The 18,696-nt window shown below is 50.3% G+C and overlaps 2 protein-coding genes and 1 long non-coding RNA gene across 3 annotated transcripts in view, besides 4 other annotated features; 1 reads left to right on the top strand and 2 right to left on the bottom strand.

Moving 5' to 3' along the window:
* WNT9B (Wnt family member 9B) overlaps nt 1-14,774 on the bottom strand; it is a 53,550-nt gene extending 38,776 nt beyond the window's left edge. Inside the window, exon 1 of the mRNA XM_011525178.3 lies at nt 14,523-14,774. Coding sequence (XP_011523480.1) covers nt 14,523-14,617 — 95 coding nt within the window. The 5' untranslated portion in view covers nt 14,618-14,774. The remainder of the gene's footprint in view (nt 1-14,522) is intronic.
* The window catches only part of LRRC37A2 (leucine rich repeat containing 37 member A2), a 676,337-nt gene that overhangs the window by 201,166 nt on the left and 456,475 nt on the right, over nt 1-18,696 (bottom strand). The window lies entirely within an intron of this gene.
* Nucleotides 2,914-3,079: a silencer, noted in NCBI's record as "fragment chr17:44922250-44922415 (GRCh37/hg19 assembly coordinates)". NCBI's record gives its function as "represses an EF-1alpha promoter that drives an FKBP-Casp9 reporter gene in an ReSE screen in phorbol 12-myristate 13-acetate-treated (for megakaryocytic differentiation) K562 erythroleukemia cells {active_cell/tissue: K562(+PMA)}" and the evidence as "EXISTENCE:reporter gene assay evidence [ECO:0000049][PMID:32094911]".
* Nucleotides 14,315-14,962: an enhancer, noted in NCBI's record as "H3K27ac-H3K4me1 hESC enhancer chr17:44910367-44911014 (GRCh37/hg19 assembly coordinates)". NCBI's record gives its function as "activates a minimal SCP1, AML or CMV promoter by ChIP-STARR-seq in naive H9 embryonic stem cells {active_cell/tissue: H9 hESC(naive)}" and the evidence as "EXISTENCE:reporter gene assay evidence [ECO:0000049][PMID:30033119]".
* LOC101929777 (uncharacterized) lies at nt 14,861-17,173 on the top strand. Its single transcript, XR_429986.3, has 3 exons — nt 14,861-15,199; nt 16,401-16,515; nt 17,045-17,173. It is a non-coding gene; the product is annotated as an uncharacterized LOC101929777 (long non-coding RNA).
* Nucleotides 14,963-15,610: an enhancer, noted in NCBI's record as "H3K27ac-H3K4me1 hESC enhancer chr17:44909719-44910366 (GRCh37/hg19 assembly coordinates)". NCBI's record gives its function as "activates a minimal SCP1, AML or CMV promoter by ChIP-STARR-seq in naive H9 embryonic stem cells {active_cell/tissue: H9 hESC(naive)}" and the evidence as "EXISTENCE:reporter gene assay evidence [ECO:0000049][PMID:30033119]".
* Nucleotides 15,611-16,258: an enhancer, noted in NCBI's record as "H3K27ac-H3K4me1 hESC enhancer chr17:44909071-44909718 (GRCh37/hg19 assembly coordinates)". NCBI's record gives its function as "activates a minimal SCP1, AML or CMV promoter by ChIP-STARR-seq in naive H9 embryonic stem cells {active_cell/tissue: H9 hESC(naive)}" and the evidence as "EXISTENCE:reporter gene assay evidence [ECO:0000049][PMID:30033119]".

The following is an 18,696-nucleotide window of genomic DNA, read 5'->3' as shown; positions in this document are numbered from 1 at the left end:
AAATCACAAACATGATGAGGCTGAAAGCTTTGCTATGGCCACATCAAATCTAGCTCCAGGATGTCTGCAGACCTCTCCTTCCTCTTCCCGGCACCTGCCCCCAGGCCAGCCCACCCTGCCTGAAACAAACCCTCAGGAACCATCCGCCTTTGGTTGGCTCCATATCTCCTGTGCCTCCCAAGTGGAAATGCGGCTTCCCAGGCTGGCTCTCTCCTCTAATCTCCCTCAAACTGCACTGGAAATGAACTCTGGACCCAACAGGAAGTGGAACAGATGATGCCCCAGCAGCTCCGAGGGAAGGTGCCCATGCTGACCTGACACACAGCTGCCCAGGAGGGCTGGTCCTGGGGAGCCTGGACAGGACTGGTGTGGGTGTGGGCTCACCTGTCCCTCTCCCTGTCCTTCCCCATCCTCCAGGTGACCTGGCCTTCTTGTCATAGCCTTATGATGACTGGCTGAGTCCTGACCACTCCCATCAGTCCTAGCCCCACATACTTGAACTGTATTGGCAATGCCCTTGCAACATTGCACTAGCATTGACTCTGGAGCACTGTGAGGTAGCATGTGGGCCATGATTGTCCCCATTATACAGATGAGGGCACTAAAGTCCAGAAAGATGAATGACTTCCTCAAGGTCATAGAACTCACTGGCTCTCGGGGATGGAAGACTTGATTTTTCTGGAACACCAGACTGAAATAGGACTGAAGCTAAGTGGGGAAAGTGGGCTTCAGAATCCCCTCCAGGGAACTCACAGCCATGCCTGAAAATGACAAAAAAGGGGGCAGAGAAGGACACCAAAATGTTAATAGGGGCTGCCTTGGAGGTTGGGAGTGTGGGGTAAGAAATGTTTTTATCTTCCTTGCATTTTCCTAGTTTTCTATGACAAGAATGTTTGACATTTATAATGAAAAAAATTACTGAAAGTGGGGAGGAGAAAAATACATAACAATACATCTCCAATGGTGGAACTTTAAGCATTTGCAGGAAAGGTATTTGGGAGGGGCAGGGCAGTATTTCTGGACTGGAGTCCTCTGTGACCTTCACTCATCTGTCCTTCTGCGGGAAGGGCCCCTGTCCTATCTTGGGAAGCTCACTCCAGAGCTGGCAGAGCTCACCACTCCCCATGGCACTTCCAGTTCGAGGCCTTCTCACTTCTGTTCCTCCCTCCCTCCCTCTTCTTCCTCACAGAACTCTTTGAATTGTGTTGTGAGGACGGTGTGGGACCCACCTTCTCTTGCCCCTTGCCTATTCAAGGCCATTCTCCAGCCCTTTATCCAGCAGCATCTTTGAGTTCAGCCAAGGCAGGCTGAATGCAGAGAAGCAGCCCTTTGGTGGCCCCCCACCCAGCCATGCTTCTGTGGCCAAGGGCAGCTGGAACCCCACCTTGACTGACAATTCCTGCCTCTGCTCACTCACCACATTGGTTCTACAACCTTTATTGGCACAACTGTACTTTGTGCCAGTGCCTATGTTGATATACACTGTCCTTGAGTTTGGGAGATTAGGCATCCCTGCTATGTGTAGACTGCAGACACCTCAAGATCTGAGACCCTGTCCCCTGTTTCTTTTCTATCCCACACTTCCTCCCATAGTGGTACTGAGTTTCAGCCCACAGTAAAAACATTGTTAAATAACTGAATTAATGAATGAATAACTGAATGAATAAACATTGGACTGTGGAAGGTCAGACCTGACTTATTGATGGCTACAAACCCTGCCTCTGATTTTATAATGTTCATGAGAGACAGGATGAGCCATCTGTACTGAAACGGTTGAAACTAGCAGGAGTGCTTTGAGCAGTCCAGTTCTGTCTAGTAGTTATAGGTAAGTAAGTAGTGACCTGGAGGAGAACTCTCAATTTCAGATAACATGGCCGGGCACGGTGGTTCACACCTATAATCCCAGAACTTTGGGAGGCTGAAGTGGGTGGAGCACCTGAGATCAGGAGTTCAAGACCACCCTGGCCAACATGGCAAAACCCCATCTCTGCTGAAAATACAAAAATTAGCTGGGCCTGGTGGCAGGTGCCTGTAATCCCAGCTACTCAGATGGCTGAAGCAGGAGAATCGCTTGAACTCAGGAGGCGGAGTTTGCAGTGAAAGGAGACCACACCACTGCACTCTAGCCTGGAGGACAGAACGAGATTTGATCTCAAAAAAAAAAAAAAAAAAAAAAAGCCAGCACAGTGGCTCACACGTGTAATCCCTGCACTTTGGGAGGCCGAGGTGGTTGGATCACAAGGTCAGGAGTTTGAGAGCAGCCTGGCCAAGATGGTGAAACCCATCTCTACTAAAAATACAAAAGTTAGCCAGGTGTGGTGGCGGGCACCTGTAGTCCCCAGCTACTCGGGAGGCCAAGGCAGGAAAATCGTTTGAACCCAGGAGGCAGAGGTTGCAGTGAGCCGAGATTGTGCCACTGCACTCTGGCCAGGGTGACAGAGCAAGACTCTGTCTCAAAAAAAAAAAAAAAAAAAAAATTCAGATAACTCACTCCATTGTCCCTGTAAGTCGACTCATGTATGTCAGGTGACATATATGTCCAAGCTCTGTTTGGGCACTGGGCTCACCGTGAATATAACCCCCACCCCAGCCCTGGTTACCACTTCCAGGAGCATAGAATACAGTGAGCTGACCTAGAGACTAGGAGATGGCTGGGCAGGTGGCACGGAGCAGCAGGGCATTCTGTCTTCAACCACCGTGAAGTCCCCTATGGGCAAAGCACTAGTGAAAGACTCTACGTTGGGGTGTTTTACAACAGAAAGGCATTCCACACAGGACATAGCTATGGATACTGCTCAAAAGAAGGAGGAAGGAGACCAGGCACTGTGGCTTACGCCTGTAATCCAAGCACTTTGGGAGGCCGAGGCGAGTGGATCACCTGAGGTCAGGAGTTCCAGACCAGACTGGTCAACATGGTGAAACCCCATCTCTACTAAAAATACAAAAAATTAGCCAGGTGTGGTGGTGCATGCCGGTAGTCCCAGCTACTTAGAAGGCTGAGGCAGGAGAGTTGCTTGCAGCTGGGAGGCGGAGGTTGCAGTGAGCAGAGATCCCACCATTGCACTCCAGCCCTGGGGCAACAAGAGCAAAACTCCATCTCCAAAAAATAAAAAAGAAAGAAAGAAGAAAGAGGAAGGAAGGAAGGAAGGAAGGGAAGGAGGGAGGCAAGAAAACAACTTTCTTAGGGACTAGAAGTTTAAAAATATGCCATAATTTACTATAAATAACATCCTATAGATTTGGGTCTGCACAGAGGCATTCTCAACATCTTTTAGTTTGTTTTCATCTGAGTAAGTTCTTGCTCTCTAAACTCTCTAAAAAGAAGGACGAGAGGAAAGGGGTCCCATCTTGAAGTTCATAGGTGCCTAGAGGAATGCAATCCTTTGCAGTTAGTTTTAGAAATCGGCCACCACCACACCATTTCCTCCAGGTCATATTATCAGAACTGCAGGTACAAATAAGTTTACAGGAAGTGCTCATTAACTGTGTCCTGACTGGTAGACAGTTGGACCATAGCACGTTTTCCTGAACTCATGGTAGGACTGCAGTGGCCCAGCCAGATGTTTTTCTTTAAACAAAGGAGAGACTCGAACCTTGGTTTATCTCTGGGAAGCAGTAAGCTGAGGCTTAACTTATCAAAAAAAAAAAAAAAAAAAAGGTGGCTAACTCCACCTCACTGCATATTTTCTACTTTATATAAAGTATAGGCTGGATACAGTGGCTCATGCCTATAATCCTAGCATTCTGGGAGACTGAGGCAGGAGGATTGCTTGAGGCCAGGAGTTCAAGACCAGCCTCAGCAACACAGTGAGACCCTGCTAATACAAAAAAGAAAAAAAAAATTAGCCAGGCATTGTGGCACATGCCTGTAGTCCCAGCTACCCTGGAGGCTGAGATGGGAGGATTTCTTGAGCATGGGAAGTTGCAACTGCAATGAGCCATGATGCCACCACTGCACTCCAGAGCAAGAACTGCAACAGAGCAAGAACCTTGTCTTAGAAAAAATAATAATAAAGTATGAATACATAATATTCAGTTTAACATACTTTGAATAAGCATCTGGTGCTAAACCCTGGAATAGGAGATGATGAAGTCAGTTCTTGTCCTTGAGGAGCACACAGTTTGTTGGGAAAGACACATAAATAAATACAGAGAGCATTCTGACATATCTATATAAGTGTAAACTAGTTATTGAGCACTTACATTACACCAGGTATTGTTCTAAGTCCTATAAAACTGTTAACCCATTTAATGCTCACAGCATTTTACAAATGAGGAAATGGGCACAGAGAAGTCAAGTAACTGGCCAGCTAGTAAGCTTAGAACCGGGATTAGAACCCAGGGAGCTGGCACCAAAGACACATATTTAACGACTGTGCAGCAGTAAAGAGAAGAAAGTACCAAATGAGGCAGGAACCCAGGAAAGAAGACAATCAATTCATTGTTCCAGGGAAGAGGTAGCTAAGACAATGGCAACTGAGATGCAGCAATGTTTGAGCTGGATTTTGCAGAGTGATTTTTTTTTTCAGTCCTTCTTTCTTCACTTTAACGAATGGAATAGTCCCTCCTAATTAGTCACACAAACGTTTGAAAGGAAACCAAGTTTTCCCACTGGTTGTCATTATAATTATAAGGGTTCACCCTACAAAGCATACCTTTGCTACATTAAGTTCTACTTTGGAGTGAGAGGAGGTTGAAAAAGTGTTGGGGACTTAAGAATAGGGAATGTGTTTTAAACTAGTTAAGCCTTTCCAATCTGTTGTTGATTCTGAAATATCATTTTCATTCCCCCAGCTCCGATATTAATATCTACCCTAGTTTCTCCCTCTCTGGGCTTGGCACCCAGGATGTGCCCACCTTCTTCCTCATGAGGTGCCTTCAGTGTCTAATGTGGCCTGGTTGCAATACCACATGTCTCCAATAGGAGTCACTAGCAACAACAGGATAATTTACCTGAGGTTGCATGGAGAGAACCCTGGGTCCTAACTTAAAATCTTGTCTCTGGCTTCCTCTGCGACCTCGGTTTCTTCATCCATAAAATGGATACAACACTCCCTGTCCACCTTCCTCACAGAACAGTGGTGAGAAATGTGAAGATGAATGTGGACATCTTCCAGTGTGATTCAGAAGAGGTGCACTGTCTGATTTTCTCATAGCTTCTGTCTGGATGGTTTCAAAAAACTAATCATTCCACAGCTACGTTTTGAGCATCACTCATCATGCCAGGCACTCTGTAGGATCCAGGAATTATTTCTATCTTTGCACAAAAGGACTTTGAATAAAAGTTTAAAGCAGGGTACGGTGGCTCATGCCTGTAATCCCAGCACTTTGGGAGACTGAGATGGGAGGATCACTTGAGCCCAGGAGTTCGAGACCAGCTCTGGGCACCAAAGCAAGATCCCATCTCTACAAAAAAAATTAATAGCTGGGCATGGTGGTATGCACCTGTGGTTCGAGCTACTCGGGAGGCTGAGGCAGGAGGATGGTTTGAACCCAGGAGTTTGAGGCTGCAGTGAGCCGTGATCGCGCCACTGCACTCCAGCCTGGGCGACAGAGGGAGACCCTGTCTGAAAAAACAACCAAATAAATAAAGATTTAAAGCTAACTGTAACCCTGAGGTTGTAGAGCAGCAGCCCCTGCCCTAGGAATGATATTGGGGTGTGCAGCAGCGGCATATCTACCTCACCTGTGGCTGGAAGGCTCTCCTGACCAATAACTCATCTCTTCCTCACACAACCCAGTTTGCGCCTGAAGAAACTGAGGCACAGAGAGGCGAAGTGGCCTGCCCAAGGACCTAAATACCAGCAACTTCCCAAGCCTTTAATCCCAGAGCATAGAGTGGGAAGGGGCGGTGTGAGAAGGCAAGTGGTGGGAGAGGACCTGGAGGGATGGAGGGGGAGGCCTCCCGGGTCCCCAGGCCAGCCCAGGCCCCGCCGAGGGCGCCACCGCGGCCAGCCTTCTGCAGGAGCGCCCCCTGCCGGTCAGCGCTGCTCGCGGCGGCCGCGGACGCTGGAGGACGCTCGGCGCGGCAGGGACTGTCCTCTCGCGGACCAGAGACCCCCCCACACACCGCAGAGGAGCGCAAGAAGGGCCCTGCGGGGTCGGCCTACCCCTTCACTTTGCACACGGCAAACGCGGAGCTCAGAGGAGGACGTGGTTGCTCAAGGTCTCTCAGCTGGATGCAGGCTTCCCTGTCCGCCTGCCTCACACTGCAGAACCTCCATCTCCTCTGCCTTCATCTACCCCGCACTCCCCAGTCCAGAGGGTCCAGTTCCTCCCGGTCCTGCTCCCGGCCAGCCCCTACCCGCCCCACCAGCCCCTTCTCCTCAAGGAATCCTCTGGCATTGCAGCCCCCAGCGCTCCCTTCTCCGAAGCCCTGTTGCGTCAGGGCGTCCCCACGCCCCCACCTTAACCCGCTCTCAATTTGGGACATGGCTTAGTTGGCCTGTTGGCACGACCTTGAGGACCAGGGACGGGCCTCTTTCTTTCGGATTCTCCACCCTCCCGCCCAGAGGTGCCTGGGACAGGGCTGAACTCTCACTCTCACTCGGTGATGAATATCGATGCATGACTTTCCTTCTTCCCACCGGGAAGCCTCACAGCAGTGTCTCTGATCCAGGACCGCCAGGATACCTAGGCTGGCCTTCTGGCTTTCCTTCCTAGCTGGGTGACCGTGGGCAAGTCCCTTACAATCTCTCAGAGCCTCCGTTTCTCCGACTGTAAATAGGGAGAAAGCTGCTCTTTGGGCTGGTTGTGAAGATTAAATGAAATCATGCGTGTCATGTTCCTGTCACATAGTAGGTGCTCAATAAATGGTAAATTTGATTTGTCAGGCTTCCAAGGAGCCTTGTCTGTCGGCACCCTCTTTCCTAGGGATAAGCCTTCCAACCTGAATTCTCCCACCCTCTGCCTCCTGTTGGAAGTAGCATCGGGAAAGGCGTTCCATGGTGATGACACAGGGGCACAGGAAAGGAGAATGCAGTTGGAAACAGAACCGGCTGCTTTCTGCCTCCACTTCTACTCACACCTACTTCCTGCTGCTTAGAATTTACAGCCTGCAAAGGGCTAATATCCAGAATCTACAAAGAACTTAAACAAATTTACAAGAAAAAACAACCCCATCAAAAAATGGGCAAAGGATATGAACAGACACTTCTCAAAAGAAGACATTTATGCAGCCAACAGACACATGAAAAAATGCTCATCATCACTGGTCATCAGAGAAATGCAAATCAAAACCACAATGAGATACCATCTCACGCCAGTTAGAATGGCGACCATTAAAAAGTCAGGAAACAACAGATGCAGGAAAGGATGTGGAGAAACAGGAACACTTTTACACTGTTGGTGGGAGTGTAAATTAGTTCAATTAGACAGTATGGCAATTCCTCAAGGATCTAGAACTAGCAATATCATTTGACCCAGGGATCCCATTACTGGGTATGTACACAAAGGATTATAAATCATGCTACTATAAAGACACATGCACACATATGTTTATTGTGGTGCTATTCACAATAGCAAAGACTTGGAACCAACCCAGATGTCCATCAATGATAGACTGGATTAAGAAAATGGGCTGGGCACCGTGGCTCGCGCCTGTAATCCCAGCACTTTGGGAGGCCGAGGCGGGTGGATCATGAGGTCAGGAGATCGAGACCATCCTGGCTAACACGGTGAAACCCCGTCTCTACTAAAAATATAAAAAATTAGCCGGGCGTGGTGTCGGGCACCTGTAGTACCAGCTACTCGGGAGGCTAAGGCAGGAGAATGGCATGAATCCAGGAGGCGGAGCTTGCAGTGAGCCGAGATCACACCACTGCACTCCAGCCTGAGAGACAGAGTGAGACTCCATCTCAAAAAGAAAGAAAGAAAGAAGGAATGAAGGAAGGAAAGAAAGGAAAGAGAGAGAGAGAAAGAAAGAAAGAAAAGAAAGAAAGAAAGAAAGAAAGAAAGAAAGAAGAAAGAAAAAAGAAAGAAAGAAGAGAAAGAAAGAAAGAAAGAAAGAAAGAAAGAAAGAAAGAAAGAAAGAAAGAAAGAAAGAAAGAAAAGAGAAAATGTGGCACATATACACCATGGACTACTATGCAGCCATGAAAAAGGATGAGTTCATGTCCTTTGCAGGGACACGGATGAAGCTGGAAACCATCATTCTCAGCAAACTATCACAAGGATAGAAAACCAAACACTGCATGTTCTCATAGGTGGGAACTGAACAATCAGAACACATGGACACAGGGCAGGGAACATCACACACTGGGGCCTCTTGGCGGGGGGGACTGGGGGAGGGAGAGCATTGGGAGAAATGCCTAGTGTAAATGATGAGTTGATAGGTGCAGCACATCAACATGGCACATGTATACCTATGTAACAAACCTGCACATTGTGCACATGTACCCTAGAACTTAAAGTATAATAAAAAAACATATATATATATATAAAGAATTTACAGCCTGTGCATGGCAGTCATGGCTGCCTTGACGCCTGCGTTGTGCCACAGCCATACAGCTTTGGGGCCCAGTGGCAGCTACCATACAACCTGATGCAAGTGTCTGAGAAAAAAGTGGACACCACGCCAGTGCTGCCTGGACCCGCCAGGGGCTAAGAGTGCCAAGGGTCAGGTACCCACAGCTGGTCCCATTGGCAGTGGCCACAAGGACAGAGTGTATGCTGGGTCGCATGGCCACAAACATATTAGCATGAGTTCAGAGCTAATAGAATAAGCATTCCATAAACATAACAATCATCTTTGAAACTCTTGGAAATTCACTTAAAATTCTTTAGAGGCCAGGTGCGGTGGCTCACGCCTGTAATCCCAGTACTTTGGGAGGCCGAGGCGGGCGGAACTCCTGAGGTCAGGAGTTCGAGACCAGCTTGGCCAACATGGTGAAAGTCTGTCTCTACTAAAAATACAAAAATTAGCTGGGCATGGTGGCGGGCGCCTGTAATCCCAGCTATTCAGGAGGCTGAGGCAGGAGAATGGCTTGAACCCGGGAGGAAGAGGTTGCAGTGAGCCAAGATCACTCCACTTCACTCCAGCCTGGGCGACAGAGTGCGACTCCGTCTCAGAAAACAAAACAAAATTCTTTAGAAAAGAAAACAAGCCCCTGGAAACCATTTTATATGGTGAGTAATCCCCTCTCTGTGCACAGGCCTCTATGCCAAATTATCTGTTTTTGTAAACCCGGATTTTTATGGACTGCATCTGCTTGAAGGCTGATATATGCTTATTAAAACAACCCAAATTATCTATGACATTTTACATATACGTGGATGTGTGTGTATATGTACTTTTTAAATTTTATTTTTAATTTTTAAAATTAATTAATTTATTTTGAGACAGGGTCTCGCTCTGTCGCCCAGGCTGGAGTGCAGTGGCGCCATCATGGCTCACTGCAGCCTTGACCTCCCAGGCTCAAGCGATCCTCCTGCCTTAGCCTCCTGAGAAGCTAGGATTATGGGCGAATACCACCATGCCCAGCTAATTTTTTCATTTTTTGTAGAAATGGGGTCTCAGTATGTTGCCCAGGCTGGTCTTGAACTCCTGGGTTCAGGTGATCCTCCTGCCTTGGCCTTCCAAAAAGTTGGGATTACAAGCATAAGCCACCACACCTGGCCTGTGATTTTTTTTTTTTTTTTTAAGGCAGGCCCCGTTCTATCTCTTCTGATCCACTGACCCACTCGGCTGTTCCTCACTTCTCCTTCCTTCCCTCCCCACCTTACCACCAATTATGTGATCCTGTTTCCACAGGGATGGCAAGAGCCTGAATTTTCAGCCAGATGTCTCAGAGAGAAAACAGTAGGGCCAGTGACACAGAGAAGGCTTTTGCTGTCTGTTGCCCCTCCCATGACTTCTGGGAGAAGTGAAGAGGGGGCAGAAAATGCAAAAGGTTCCTCCACCCCCTCAACACAGGGGTTGGAGCAATGGCCTAAAGTTGTCCCAGTACCTGCTCACTCCCTTGGGTGGAGAAAGACGGTGATGTACACGTGGAAAACGCCACCCACCCATGAAGCCCCTCTGAGTGATTTAGAAAGAGGTCCCTCCTCCTCCAGGCACTTTTTTCCCAACTGTCAGAAAACAATCACTGCAAATATGGCCGTGATGTGCACAGTGTCCTCATATGTGGTGTAACCTTTTGCAGTGCACAACATGCACAATTGTGCATATCAGCCCTGAAGGCATATACCAGGTCAGTCCTCTGCCTGGTGAGTGGGAAACTAAATCCCACTGACCATGAGCCATCCCTCCAAACCTTCCCCCAGGCACATTCCCAGCAGGGGCATCACCACCTTCCTGTGTTCCCAGCCTCAGTCCTTTGGAGTCACCCCAGACTCTCTGGGTTCACATCCCACCTCTAGCGTTTATTAGGACTATGACCTCGGACAGGTCACACAGCCTCCCTGGGCCACAAGTCCCTTATTTGTAAAACGAGGGTGGCAGCGGCAGCTCTTGCATGGGGTTCTAGTGAGGATTCGATGGGGAAACAAATGTCATACAGCAAGATGGTGGCCTGGTGCTTGCTGATTCCCCAACATCAGTCCCACCCTCCAGTCCCCCAAATATTCTCCCATTTATACTCCAAATTCTGCCTAAGAAGCATCTGCATTTGGCTCCATGAGTAGGTTATCAGGCCAGCCTTGTCACTGCAGGTGGAGTTTGGTTACATAAGTAAAGGGATGAAGGGGGCAAAACAAATATCATGTGAAATACTTGCAAGGTTCAGCCAGGCACGGTGGCTCACGCCTGTAATCCCAGCACTTTGGGGGGCCGCGGCGGGCAGATCACGAGGTCAAGAGATCAAGACCAGCCTGGCCAACATGGTGAAACCCCATCTCTACTAAAAATACAAAAATTAGCCTAGCATGGTGGCGAGTGCCTGTAGTCCTAGCTACTTGGGAGGCTGAGGCAGGAGAATTGCTTGAACCTGGGAGGTGGAGGTTGCAGTGAGCCGAGATCACGCCACTGCACTACAGCCTGGGCGACAGAGCGAGACTCTGTCTCAAAAAAAAGAAAAAAAGAAAAAGAAATACTTGCAAGGGTCCTATGCTGAGTTCTTCCTAAAGCAAAGGGTTCATTTACAAACCAAAATTGTAATCCCCCAAATTCTTTATTCACACATCTAGCTTTTTAAAAATAATTCCAGGGAGTTACTAAGCAGCATACTTGTGTGTCAACAGGACACAGGTCACCTGGTGGCTTCCAACCAAGACATCACCCCATGACCCTGGCCAACCCTGCTCACCTCCAGCCTGGCTTGCCAGGAAGGCCAGTCACTTTCTCCACAGTGGGTTTCATTTTATCAATGAATTTCCCAACATGCGGCATATTTAGCAAGTGAGAGGCACTGTGCTGATTCATTTCATTATCCTACTTATTTCTCCCAACTGCTTCAGAAATTGACATTACAATGATCACCTTGGACTGTTTCTAATCATCGACATTTACAATGTGACATACTTTTCTTCCTCTTATCAGTGTAAAAAAACACAAAGATATTCAAAGTGCTTACTTGTTTTTTGCCCTTGAAACCCCATTTCACATAGAAGCATGAAGAACCATCTCCACTTTCCTTCTGGGTCCATGAAAAGAGAAAGCATCCCTAGAAACCAGGCTTCATGAATGAAGTTCAAAAAACAGCAGTTCCAAGGAATGCAATTATGTCCCTGCAGCCCTGGATTTCCCTGGGAGCCCCAGTTGAATTCCAATATCACTTCCTCCGCACTCTTTTGGCTGCTTCCTTGGAAAGGGGGTAAGGGTTCAATATCAGGCGAATTTTAAGATCTGTGGTGAGGTGTTATTAATTGCCCCGCCACCACCACAACCGAGACACACACACACACACACACACACACACACACACACACACGTCAGCGTCTCTCCAGCTGCTGTTCCTGGGAGCCCCAGCAGGTGGCACTATGACCCTGACCATCCTCGCAGGCCCCATCCAGAATGTGTGGGCACAATAACTTTAAGGTCCAGGGTCTCCCAGGGGCCCAGAGGCAGGATCTCACCTCTGAGGAGCCCCACCAGGAGAGTCCTGTCCCAGAGAGAAGGGCCGGGTCTCCTGTCTCCACTCTTCTTTAGTGAAGGTAGCTCAACTTCCTGGTTAAGAAGCTAGGCAGGGGTGCAGAGGTGGGGAGTGAAGGGGGCTGAGGGGGCGCAGGCCCTCCTCCCTTCCCTCCAACCCAGCTGGATCTGTTCCTCATTGCATTAGGAGATGTATTCTCCCAACCCTTAACAACTCATCCCTAACCCACCTGACCACCAGCCCTGAGCTTTGGGGACAAATCTTGGCAACTGCTGAGGGCCACTGTAGGTCAGGAATGACTACACTGATGAGAAGCTAGAAGGCACAAAGGAGGAGGGGTAAGTCAGGGAGGCTTCCTGGAGGAGGTGAGGGTGGACCTAAGAGATTAACTCATGGTCACCTCATTAAGAATAAGGGAGACTGGGCTGGGCGTGGTGGCTCATGCCTGTAATCCCAGCACTTTGAGAGGCCGAGGTGGGTGGATCACGAGGTCAGGAGATCGATACCATCCTGGCTAACACGGTGAAACCCTGTCTCTAATAAAAATATTAAAAATTAGCTGGGCGTGGTGGCGGGTGCCTGTAGTCCCAGCTACTCGGGAGGCTGAGGCAGGAGAATGGCGTGAACCCGGGAGGCGGAGCTTGCAGTGAGCCGGGATTGTGCCACTGCACTCAAACCTAGGCAACAGAGTGAGACTCTGTCTCAAAAAAGAAAAAAAAGAATAAGGGACAACATGGCAAGACCTCATCTGTCTACTAAAAATAAAAAAAAATTAGCCAGGTGTGGTGGTGTGTTCCTGTAGTGCCAGCTACTCAGGAGGCTGAGGTGGGAGGATCACTTGACCCCAGGAGATGGAGGCTACAGTGAGCACTGATCGCACTACTGCGCTGCAGCCTGGACAACAGAGCGAGATCCTGTCTCCAGAAAGAAGAAGAAGGAGAAGGAGAAGGAGAAGAAGAAGAGAGACTGAGGGCCAATCTAGGGAGTTTGATGCTGCCTGGGGGAGGAACACTGACAGGTGAGCTCAATGGCCATTTTTTGGAATGCTTCTGGGGGTAAGGTGGGCCTCCAGAGACTCTTCCCTGAACAAGCTAGAGAAACAGAAGCCACAGACTCTAAGAGTATATTAGCGTGGGGGAAGCCCTTGAGGAGCTGGCCAGGGGTTCTGAAGGAATAACAGGGGTGCTGAGTTGTGAGAGGGCAGAGGGAACCTTCCAGGTTAAAACTGGCTCCTCTGCATGGGGGAGGGGTGTGACAGAGGACAGGGAAGGGGAGGAGGCAGGCGAGAAGGACCAAGCCTGTGCCCAGCCTCAGGGACAGGGCTGAGCCCCTACCTACAGCCCAGGAGGTATATTTGCTTGCTAGAGTTGACCGTTCTTGAGATGAAATCAGGGGCAAGCCAGCGAGAGGAGCTTTCCACTCAAGGAGCTCCGTACCCCCTGTTGTAAAGCCCAGCCATGCCTCGGCAGGCCTAGCAGAACTTGCCAGGTGCCCTAGTGGGCTCCTTGGTGGCCTAACTCTCCATCTCCTAATGCGCGCCCTCCCCAGCAGCCTGCCCTCTCCCAGAGGCAGAACCCAGAAGGCCTCCCTCCTGCGATCAGACCCAGGCACCACCTGCTTCTCCAGCCACTGCCCAGGACACCACTTCCCCCTGAGAGTTGGCAAATCCGTCGTTTTGGTTACCACCTCATGGAGATTCAGCCCCTCTGGAAGTAAGACATTTTCTTTTTTTATTTTTTGAAACAGGGTCTCACTCCATCGACCAGGCTGGAGTGTAGTGGTGCCATCCTAGCTCACTGCAACCTCAAATGCCTGGGCTCAAGCAATCCTCTCCCCTCAGCCTCCCGAGTAGCTGAGACTGCAAACACATGCCACCACACCTGACTTAGTTTTAAATTTTTGCAGAGACAGGGTCTCACTATGTTGCCCAGGTTGGTCTCAAACTCTTGGCCTCAAGTGATCCTCCTGCCTCAGACTCCCAAGATGCTGGGATTACAGGTATGAGCCATTCTTGATACCTGGGATGGGACATGGTCCAGAATGGGGACAGGAAAGACTCCAGAACTAGCAGAACCACACACTCCAGCCAGAAAAAGAGGCGAAGGAAGTTGAAGGAAAAGCAAGCCTCCCGATCAGGAGCCCCCAGCAGTTTCTAGCAGGCAGACTGGCTCACTTCTTCCCCGGGCAGGCCTGTTTTCCAGGACGCTCACTCACGTGGGAAACAGCTCAGTGCACACATGCACTGAGTCAAAGCTTTCTTGGAAGATACAGTGATTTCTTGATTTTGTTAGAACTGACTCACACACACCCTCACTCACTCCATGAGCCAGGGAAGCAGGGCTGCCCACCACACTGAGCAGGAGACTGGGGTTTGAGTTTGAGCTCAGGTCGGCCTCCAGCAGTGTCTCGGAAAGCTCAGAGAGAAGTCAGGCAGTGAGGTGACCAGATGGGGAGTCGGGGTGGGTTGGCTGTCCCTTCCTCCCTAACACTCACCTTCTGATTCTTCTTAGAGGGCTGGTAAGGCTCCCAGGACTGGCATTCAGGCCTTGGCATGCCAGAGGATCAAAAGAAACTGCCCGTCCTTTCATGCAATTGATACAAGAAGCAACAGAAATTGCAGCTTGCTTTCAGTGGGACGTTAGAACTTGTGGAAGGAGCCATCACCCAGGGAGCTCAGCTGAAGCGTCAGGGCTCAGGCCCAGCTTCCACGCACATGCTGCTTCCCGGTTTGCTGACGTCCTCTGTGCTGAGAGCACCATGTCACTCCTCAGCTGACATCACTCTGGATTGGCAGCCAGGGCCATGAGCTCGTTTTGTCAACAACCCTCCCCCTCTTTTTGCTCTTTCCTGGCTGTGTGGTGGACTCTTCAGGGACACAGCAGTCACTGCGCTGCAGGGACAGTCCCCAAGTGCCAAGGCACAGCCTAAAGGGGCCTGTTCCCACCATGGCATCCGTGACAAGAACCAGGAGCCAGAATGCAGGTTTCTGGGACTTGTCAGCTCCCTTCTGAGTGCCCTGTTGAGGATTCCTAGAAGTCCAGACACCTCACCCCCCTAACCTGGATGGACCACGCAGAGCCAATAGGAATACTTTTCTGTGGACGTGCCATGTTGGAATCCCAGATCTCCCTGCCCTGCCAGCCCCTGCCAGCTTCCTGGGGACCCAACTGGTGAGTTTCACCCCCAAAGTGGCTGCGACATTGGAAGGCCAGGGCCACCCCTGCCTTTTCCATTGCTCGGCAGCTCAATCGTTCATCCATAATCCCCAGGCGTGGAGGCAGGGCTGGGGGCTCAAGGGGCTCTCGGTGCAGCGGCAGGGGCGGGGGCAGGGGCTCCCCTAACTGCAGAGGCTAGCCTTACACACCCAGCAACACATGTCCCCCTTTATGGCCCGGGCTTTCTCTCGGTGCTTAAAGCCAACTGTGAAAAGAGCAGGGCTGATTCTGGCTGCCTGGCCGTTTCCTGGCAACAGGCCTGGCAGGAGGTCTTTCTTTCTCCCCCCAACCTCCCTTCTCTCCTCCACCACCCCCCTCTCTCTTTTCCCCCCTGTGTCTTGTGTTGTGTATCATTAAAACTTCCCTCCCAGCCACTTCGCAGCCAACAACCAGGCCCTTCTGGGGCTAGTTCCCTCCGGGCAGCTCAGCCGGCCCGGGGTGGGGGCTCCGAGGGGTCAAGGCCCCCAGAGAGGAGGCTTTGTGTTCTGGAACCAAGGCTTAAACTCAAGTTGGCAACCTTTGGCACGTTTGTGAGGGGCAGCCACCAGCACCCCCTCTGCAGGCACCTCTTCCTTCTCTGTCTTCCTCCCCCACCTTTCAGGGTCTCGGTCTCTTCCTTTAGTGCCTGGAGCCTGCCAATAGTGCCACTGGGCACTGCCCAAAACCACGCGGGCCTCACGAGGCTGGGCATGGACAACCCTTCACCTAGGAGGACAAGCCTCTGCTGAAGGCTGGGGTAGCTCTAGCCAGAGGCCTGCAGCCAGCTCTGGCACAGTGTCCTGGTCTGCCCTGAAAGGGCACAGGAACACAAAGGGTGTTGGCCTCAGGGATCACGGGGAAGCAGAGCATTCACTCAATGCATACAGGACCCAAAGAACTCTTCATTTGGCAGTTTCAACCTGCAGGGACACTGAGACCCAGAGGGGGTGAGTGCCTTGTCCGGGGACACACAGCCAGTCAGGAGAAAGCTGAAGCTGGAACCCTGGTTTCCCAGTCCCCTCCTCTGTGGCTCTTCACTGGAGGGGACCCGGAGGGGAACAAGTGGCTCCCTGAGGCCCACGCACCTTTTGGGCCTGACCTGCCTGCCTCCAGAGCAGTGCTCAGGGGTGTCTGAACTTGACCCCGCCACTCTGGGGCCCTCCCCCTCTTCTCCTAGACCCTGAAGAAAGCCTCTGATGGGCCTAGAACAGAGAAGGTGACCCAGGACCTTGCCCAGCCTTTCTGGACAACTGGAAGACAGTTACGCTTCGTCCTCCACCTCTCCCTCCAACGTGAGTATCCGAGTCACAGGGGCCTAGTGCTGGCCTCCTCTGTCATCCAACCCACTCTTAAGGCTGGATGGGCCACCCCAGATCACCTATCTGGTACCTTGAGGCAGAGCAGATGCTGGGGGTAATCTCAGCTCATAGCCAGGTGGCTTCCGGGTGCAATTCTGGGGTTCTGCCAGCTCTAGCCTCGCTCACCCACAGGGTCTCTGGCCAACCAAGATGCCCTGACCACACAGACTGTATGGTCAGGCACTTACAGCGCACCCTGACTGCAAGCCCTCAGCTCTGTTGTCCCATGTTCCGGTGTTTTCCAGACTCCAGGCATTTCCATGCTACCCCCACTCTATAGCTGCATGCATACCTGTTCTGCTATTTTTTGAACACTTTTCTTTACATTGATTTGCATTGTTCTTAATAACGTCAACTGAAAAGAAGATTTTAGATTTACTCATTTTCAACAATGAGGTTTCATTCTAACCAGACACTATGGCCCTGCAAAGGCTCTGAATGTGTGACTTTCTCTCTTTATTAGAAAAGGATCTTAGCAAGTGTTGGAGAGGTGCTGAAGTCGTATTAGGACCAACCAGACTTTTTCTTTGAGGATACTCAGAAGGAGTGAAGGAGAATGGAACAGGGGGTGTGAATAAATGAGCTTTCTCCATGTGTGATTCAAAGTGGTTTAACCCATGCCTCACCTTCTAGAACACCCGTGGCCCTCTCTAGCCATGAGAAGTGTCACCACTAGCCATCAAAATGCTCCCAAAAGTCCAACCTTTGACCAAACTACATTTCAGATTTTCATTTCAGATTTTCTTAAATTCTGGAGAAAAAAGAAAATAAAGTAAAAGAATAAATATTTTGGTTATGCCATGTACTCTGATTTGGGATTCAGAAATATGATTTCTGGCCAGGTGTGGTGGCTCATGCCTGTAATCCCAGCCCTTTGAGAGGGGAGGATCTCCTGAGCCCAAGAGTTGGAGATCAGCCTGGGCAGTGTAGGAAGAAGACACCATCTCTAAAAATAATAAAAAGTTAGGCAGGTGCGGTGGTGCATGTCTGTGGTCTCAGCCACTCAGGAGGCTGAAGTGGGAGGATTGCTTGAGCCCGGGAGGTCGAGGCTGCAGTAAGCCGTGTTTGTGCCATTGAACTGTAGCCCAGGCGACAGAGCGAGACCTCATCTCAAAAAAAAGAAAGGAAATATGATTTCCCACATTACCACACCTGCTGATGTGCATAGCAAAAGGCTGGGTGTGGGGGTGGGGAGGCTATGGTAGGCAAAGGTAGGGGTGGGTGATGAGGATGAGGGGAGGAAGGCTTTTGGGCAGTCTGAGAAAAGCAAGAGAGCTGGGAACATCTCGTCACCAACAGTCCTCAATCACTAAGACAGCCTGGTTAGGATTCTGCCATTATGTTTGGTCTCATGATAATAACAGGTCTTAGGAAGTCAGCCTGTGTTATCTACTAGATGCCCTGAGCTTTTTGGGTAAACTATGCCATTTAACCCTGCCAAGGGTGGAATTAGTATACCCATTTGCCAGATAAGAAACGGCCACAGAGAGATCTAGATAACTTGCCCAAAGTCACAGCTCAGCAGCAGGGAGCCAGGATGTGAACTTGTTCTTTCTGATCACAGAACTCATGCTCCCCCCACCCCACCACAGCATCACTTTGCCCCCACCCCCTACTCCCATCCCAACCTGAGGCTATTTGGCCAGTGAGGACCAGGCCTTAGGAGATAACCATCCCCTCAGGTGAAAGAGTGAGTCCCAGTGTCCCCAGGCAAGGCTTCCACCAGCCCCTCCCAGCAGAGACTTTAGGAAGTGCTCCTGTGTGGCATGGCTGGTGGGGCTGTGCCCCTCCATCCCCGAAACACACTCAGGGAGCCTGAGAATGGCTCCTAGACACCTGAGAATGAAGGGCAGAGGGGAGACTGTAGGAGGCAGGTGGCTGGGCTGCTGCTTTTTCTCTTTTTAAAAAATTGAGGCCAGGCGTGGTGCCTTACACAGTAATCCCAGCACTTTGGGAGGCTGAGGCGGGTAGATCACCTGAGGTCAGGAGTTCGAGACCAGCCTGGCCAACATGGTGAAACCCTTTCTCTACTAAAAATACAAAAAAATGAGCCAGGCATAGTGACACATGCCTGTAGTCCCAGCTACTGGGGAGGCTGAGGCAGGAGAATCACTT

Source organism: Homo sapiens, chromosome 17, assembly GCF_000001405.40.
Source record: "Homo sapiens chromosome 17, GRCh38.p14 Primary Assembly".
Taxonomy (NCBI): domain Eukaryota; kingdom Metazoa; phylum Chordata; class Mammalia; order Primates; family Hominidae; genus Homo; species Homo sapiens.
Note: the sequence above shows the minus strand (reverse complement) of the source record. Positions and strands in the feature narration are given on the sequence as shown.